General features: G+C 39.8%; 1 protein-coding gene across 53 annotated transcripts in view; it reads left to right on the top strand.

Moving 5' to 3' along the window:
- The window catches only part of THRB (thyroid hormone receptor beta), a 378,556-nt gene that overhangs the window by 102,706 nt on the left and 268,807 nt on the right, over positions 1 to 7,043 (top strand). The gene's annotated exons all lie outside the window — the stretch shown is intronic.

Raw genomic sequence — 7,043 nt, 5'->3', positions numbered from 1 at the left:
GTAAGCATGAAAAAGGGAAATTAATTCAATAGCATTTATTTTTATTAGGTCACATTATTATATATGTCCTTTTAAAAAACTTTCTGGGTATAAATAGAGATAATAAAAAGTAGAATAAAGTACTTATTCCCCATATCAAAAGAGGAGAATAGAGGTACATATAAATTCCAAGCAGTATATGTTCTAAATCTATGAAAATCCTTTCAGGAATTTGGCCTGGTATATATAAATCTAAACATATAAGTACAAATGTTACTCATATAACTATAACTATGTAAAGACTAAAATACTTGATTTTGAAATGCAGTCAGTTATAGCCTAAGACATTTAAATACACTCCCCGTTTCTGCTGAGGTCAACACATCCCCTTGAGAAGTGTAGGACTTGGCTTTATCATGGGAGAAAAGAATCCATGAAGAGTAATTTGAGGATGACTTACAGTTGAATATAACTTTAAATTTTTTAGGTGAAGTCCATAGTTTTACTTAAGTTGGTTAAGGGGTGCAAAAATACAGTTATATAGAAGGAATAAGTCCTAGTGTTTGATAGAATAGCAGGGAAATTATAGTTAACAATAGCTTATTGTATATTTTTAAATAGGTAGAAGAGTTGTAATGTACCCATCACAAAGAAAATATAAACCTTTGAGGTGATGGATATCTCAATTACCCCAACTTGATTATTACACATTGTCTACAGGTATCAAAATATCACATATACCCCAAAAATATGTATCAACATCAATAGAAAAACAGAATTCTCGATAAAACCTAGAATTTTCATCTGGGAAAAAAATAGCCAAACCCTCAGTAAATTAAACCATAATAAAATGTTAAATATTTTCCCCAGACTTGGAAGTAATATAATGGTGGTTTCCAGTTTAAACAAAACCTTATGTGTAGTTGTAAGATTCAATAAAAAGATGCACATAAAAGTGCTTTGGAAATGGCAAAATTCTCAGCGGGGTCGCCACCATGAGGGCAGTAGAACACAGAAGAAAGTAGCGTTGCTTTGGAGCCAGATTGTGAGCATGCCAATTTCAGCATGGCTGCCCTGTGCGAATTATGTAGCCTCTCTGTGTGCCAGGATCCACATCTCTAAGATGTGAACCATAATAATTCCCATTACCGCTACGAAGAGTAAGTCAGTTAGTACATGTAGAATTCTGAGGACAGTTTCTGGCACATGGAAAGTGCTCAAGCAATAATGGTGATGATGATGACAATGATGGGGCAGTTGTATTTGGGGGAAAAGGAGAGGACAGAGGAAGTATTCGATTTTGAAAATGGAGGACGGACCAGCTGACCCAATAAGCTTAAAGAGGAGTAAACAGAATAATAGAAATTAATTAGGTTTGGAATTTAAATGGAAATGAATGCCCTGTTTATACGTATATTCTAAACTGAGATAAGTGTCTTTCTTGGTACTGGCAGAAATATTATTAGCAACATTTACCATTGTTTAAAAATAAAATATTTTGAACAATCATTACACATATACTATGGAGCCATGAAGATTCTAGTTTCAAAACTAAGTTTAACAAGGAATAACTGTCTCCAGATTTAATAGCAAGTATCATAAAGATTATGAGATGATGATGTAGGAGAGTAAACGTTTTCATTGCCACAAATGTGGGATGACAGCATGATTCAAGACTGGTAGATAAAACAAGGTGACTCTAAGGAGAAAGAGACAACTCTCCACAAGACCTTTTCTGTAGCTGAATTATAATTATTCTTTTATGCTTTTGACCATATTTTACCACCCATGTTCTAAAACAGTGGCTAAATGTTCCATACTGAGAAACCAGAACCACCTGGGTCTTACCTTCTTGTGGCCATGATGCACATCCCTGAGCAGCCATATTGCTCTCCAAAGAAGTTTCCCAAGACCAACCTGCTTCCCCTGCTCACCTGTCCCAAGGGCACCACTGCTCCTTCTGCCAGACTGCACAGTGCACCTGCACTCTGCCTGTGATGCAGGCTGGGAGAAATGGACCCTGAAAAGATTCAGCTTTGCTTTTTCACCAGCTGAGGGAAATTGTCTGCAGGGCTGCCTTAGATCTGCCAAAATCATCCCAGCAATACCTGGCAAAAGCCCAAGATGTGAGTTATTCATACTAAAAATGGAGAATTGGGGCCAATATTCTACCTATGAGTTTTTAATTCCAAGAATTTAAAAATAATATTATATATATATATATATTTTTTTTTTTTTTACAAAGTAAAGATTGGGAAGCAGCTGGGCATCAGGCTGAGAGGCTGGCTAAAAAGAAAACAGCTGTGTTGGTCTTAAGTCTGAGCTGACTACAATAACTCTTGATTTCTTTGAACCTTGAACCTGAGGATTCAAGGCCATAAAGCAAAGCTACCAAGTGTTGACTTATCTGATTCCTTGTGAGACATACAGAGTAGAGTTGGTTGTTAAGCCATCTTTAAATGGAAAGTGTTACAGAAATGCTTATAATAATAAAAGGCTAATTATAGCATTTTCCCAAGTTGTGGGATTACTATAATGGGAATGATGGCACATGCAAGACCTAACACATTTATCAAAGAGCTGGCGGGATGTCTACAAAAGTAAATATTATATATGCTGATATGTCATGTGCTGATCAACATAGTAAGTCTAGCTGGACAGCTGCTTTAGTTTAAGATAAGCAAAGCAAGCATAGGAGTGTTCGAAAACCACTTATGCTCCGGTGAATATACCTAAAGTGTGTTTCAGCTGGAGAGTGGGGATTGGGAGAGGGCTCATGCCTCTTTATATCTTCACAGTACCTTATAATTATAAAGTGCCTAGCATTCTGCCTAGCACCTAGTAGCTGATCAATGAATCATTGCCTTTTTCCCCCTTCCTCTGGCATGTTGTCATCAGTGGGAGATGGCTTATGGGTAGGGGTATGGGGAGCTTTGAGTACCAAGAGCACATGGTCTAAAGCAGTGGGTTTGCTATACAAATATAGCCTTGAGACATCTCTGGTTCCTCCTTCCTAGCAGATTGTCCCCTCTGTCACACCTACGAAGACATTTTTATACTGTCATTGGCTACCTTTTATTCAGTGAGTGCTCCACAAATACCTGTTGATTCAACTGCATCTCTTGTGGACATTTATGGCACTTCAAGACTGTGGTTGCCTTTAGTGACTGCCACTGAACAGATTCCTGCTTGTTGAGTATTGCTTATTGCTGAAGCTATTTTTATAAGCACTGCCAAAAGCCTTTAATCCTCTGTCAGTTGAGTGTATCTTTTGGGTTGTTTTTGTTGTTACAGCTAACCTTTTGGCAGAGAATGGGGCAGACAAAAAAAAAGGGGGGGAATTGAGATAGGAAGCAGTTTGTAGAAAGATCCTTGGAAAAACCCTTTCCCCCAAATTACATTTTGCATTCCATTAGAGAACAACAGATTAAAAACAAAGCACAAATCTCGCTGAGAACCTGAAAGGCAAGTTTCAGCATGAGTGAATTTTTAACAGCCTTGAAGGAGGGGGTTAAAATGAAATTCTGACAACCTTAACTACATTTCTTTCTTAAAGCGTTGCTATAATAATAAAAGGTGAAATGTCAGCAGTCACATATTATTCTGTCTAACAATAGTTTATAATTTTTACTCTGTGGGAGCACTTGCCCTTTTATAGTCTCAACTCTTGCGTTTTGACTGACTGCCCAAGGACAGCAATTACTTAAGCCATTTACCTACACACCGGCAGCACAGCCAAGACCTGCTCTGCATTGCTAAGTTCTCCAGGGATTTGCTCTTGGGGACTTCAGTCAGTAAAGGAATTCTATGATATGAGCTACTTACTACCCCTGGGGTTTCAACCACTCCAAAAATCTGTATTCATCCCTACACCTTGAAAACACACTGCTGGCTATGCTTTCTGCGAAGGAGAGATCAGCTTCTTTCTGTGCGTCAGGAAAACATCTTCAAACATCCAAATAGTCACACAGTCTCCTTCAGAATATTGCAGAAGAATAGATACTACTCAGTTATCACAAAGTAGAGATGGGAGTTTTCTATTAAAATTTTATTCACTTAGCAAGCATGATTAGAACAGCTGCTATGTCCACCAACCTAGAGCATCTGCTAGGGTAGAGCTACCAAGATTACTACTACACAGAACCAGCCCACAGAGAGTACATTTTGTGGGAAAAGTCAGATGAGAGATATAAATTGTTGAGGGAAGCAGTAGGCTAATCAAGGAAGTAGCCTGCCTTGAGGTTAGGGATGGGAATCCTGGCATCAGTCATGAACCATCAGCTCAAATGCCCTCAGGGTTGGGCAGGTAAGGAAATAAATGAAGGGTGCCAGTAGGGACTGTCACACAGTGTAGCCAGTGAGAGCCATCAAGATGGAACACTATCCCTCAACTACAGCTGTTCAGTGCCATGAGCAAATACCAGCCCATTCTTGCCAGAGCTTTGGCTTTTTGAAAATTATTTTTTAATGTTGGCAACTAGTTCACAGTGTTTTACCCCCATGAATTCCACACAAAACAGTTCTAGGGACCAACCTTTGGGTTATGATGTGTGCTGTCTTAAAATTCCATTCTATATGCTTTATCTCAGGCTGTTACAGGTTAGGCGCTCTAGAAAGCAGATTCTGAGACAGTGTAGTAAGCAGGAGGTTTACTCAGATAGCTGTCTGTGGTAGGAATGGGAAGGAAGCAGGTGTGGAGTGTGGATAGAGGGAGAAGTTGGACTGTGATGGAGTCTCAGTAAATGTCTCTGCTAACATTTAAAGAGCAGTGAAACTTGGTAGCCCTTCAGAGTTGTTCCAAGTTGGGTGACGGGGCTGGGCCTTTATACCTTGGCATGAACCAATCACTGGACGTGGGTTGCTTGGGAAGGGGAATGACTTTGGGTAAGGAGGCTCTCTTCAGCCAAAGGAATATGCATCAGAGTCAGCCACCCTCTCAGTAGCTGGGAAATCAGTTATATCTTACTGAAGGAGATCTGGGTGGTGCGTGACAATACCCATCATAGCTGTAGATAGGTTTTTCTGCATGGACTGTGTTGCCCCTGAACACAAGGATGAGGTTGCAATCAACATTGAACTGACCTGACAATCATGCCCTAGAGAAGAGAGATGATCTCACATTGTTTCTCCTGGTCCCATCCTGTCTCTGGGCCTGTCTCTTTCCCTACTTTTGCTGGCCTGTATGTCTCCCACAGAAGCTAGTGGAACAGGATTCCTAAACCCCCTGAGGAATTCCTAACCCCTTGACCCAACCTCAGAGCTATATTGGTGTGGCCTACAATCCATATTTGGAGCATTTCTAAGGATACAGTTTCAACCTAAGCAGACAGAGTTGTAATGGAATGTAATGATGCACTCATTTTTGCAACATGTGCTTTTTGATAGCCTACTGCATGCCAGGCACCAAGCTACTCACTTTGAACAAAAGAGGTTTCCTGCGTGCAAGAAGTTTGGTATTTAGTTGGTAATGCAGATGAATAAGCAGACAATTTCAGGGTGGTAGGTGTTCTCACAGGGGTGATCAGAAGTGTTGTTTTGGGAGGCTACTTTGATTAAAAATCTGTAGTTAGAAACAATTATAATACTCTTTGTGAACAACAGCTCACCAAAGTAATGCCAACTGGGCTGGAGAGGGTCAGGTTATAATGTGTTAAGGGAGTAGACTCTGAAAGGTTTAGTGAATATTGGTGTACATAAATGGGGAAGTGAGGACTTTAATCTACTGTCCAGGTTGCAGGCCTAAATGATTGTAGATTTGGAAGACATGAATGAATGATGGCATAACTGAGGGGAAAAAAATGCAAAGCACTGGGTAGACAACCATCACTGCTGATGATTAAGATGTGGTTTTGTGCCAACAACTGTTTATGGAATATATTCCTCCCTGTGAAGTAAGGCAGCCATAAATAACTATCATATGTGTCACAGTTTGACAATTATTATATGTAGAGCCATGGAGAGCATGCTGGAGAGAGGATAAGAGAAGAAAGGTATTAATTCCAATTGATGTGGCAGAAAAATCTTGAGGTGGATAATAATGATGATGACTTGAAGGTCCATAACAATAATAGCTAATATGAATGCCTAATAAGTACAAAGGGCTGTGTTAAGTGCTTTCTGTGCTTTAACTCATTTAGTTCTCTCCACAACCCTGCAATATAGAGGCTGTTATCTTCCTCTTTGTATAGATATGAAGAAACTGAGGCTTTCTGTTCAGGTTTAAGCACCTTGCTTAAGATTTGATGACAAGAAAATGGTAGCCCTTGGATTTGAACCAGGTTGCCTGAAGCCAAATTCTGGTGTCTTATCACAAAATTATACTGTTTCTCACTTGAAATCGATGTTGAAATATGCATGGGAGAGGAGAGCATTCAAACTGAAGGGAACTGTTTTTGCCAAGGTATGATGATGTTTTGAGTTTGAGGAAATATGGGAGATATGACTAAAACGTAAGGTAGAGAGGTGAAAAGCATGGTGTGAAGGTTAACTTTGGAAAGTTAGACCGTAGTTTCCTTGCAGATGGCCTTAAATACCAAGCTAAGGGGTTGGGGTTTTTATTCCTTGTGAAATGGGGAGCCATAGAAGGTTGTAAGCAAACAAGTGGTAATATCTGTATTTTGAAACAGCAACTCTGGCTGTGAAGGGTAGACAGGTAAATAGAGGGACTAGAGGTGGTTGGGCAGAGAGGAGCAGGCCCCTAAATATTGGGGAGGCACTTTGCAAGCAGGGTAAGAACAGGGCAAGTAGAAAGAAATAGAAGACAATTTGATTGTTGCCTTGGCTCGGGTTTTTGTCTGTGATATTGAGAATGCAAGATGAAGGTAAAGATGTCATGTAGAGAGAGCAGGAGCTCAGATTCAGACTGTGGAAATGGAGGCGTGGGCCTCAGGAGGCTCTGTCTAGAAGAGACTCTGGAACCTCCTCCTTGGAAGTTTAGGTGGATGCTGGATTTGGCTGGATTCGAGTTGAGGTTATTGAAGAAACACTATGTAGGCTGACAAGTATGAAAGTACACATTTAAATAGAGGATAAAGGAAGTAATTTTTAAGAAAGTCATATTGTAC

Source organism: Homo sapiens, chromosome 3 (genome assembly GCF_000001405.40).
Source record: "Homo sapiens chromosome 3, GRCh38.p14 Primary Assembly".
Lineage (NCBI taxonomy): Eukaryota > Metazoa > Chordata > Mammalia > Primates > Hominidae > Homo > Homo sapiens.
This window is presented reverse-complemented; position numbering and strand designations above follow the sequence as displayed.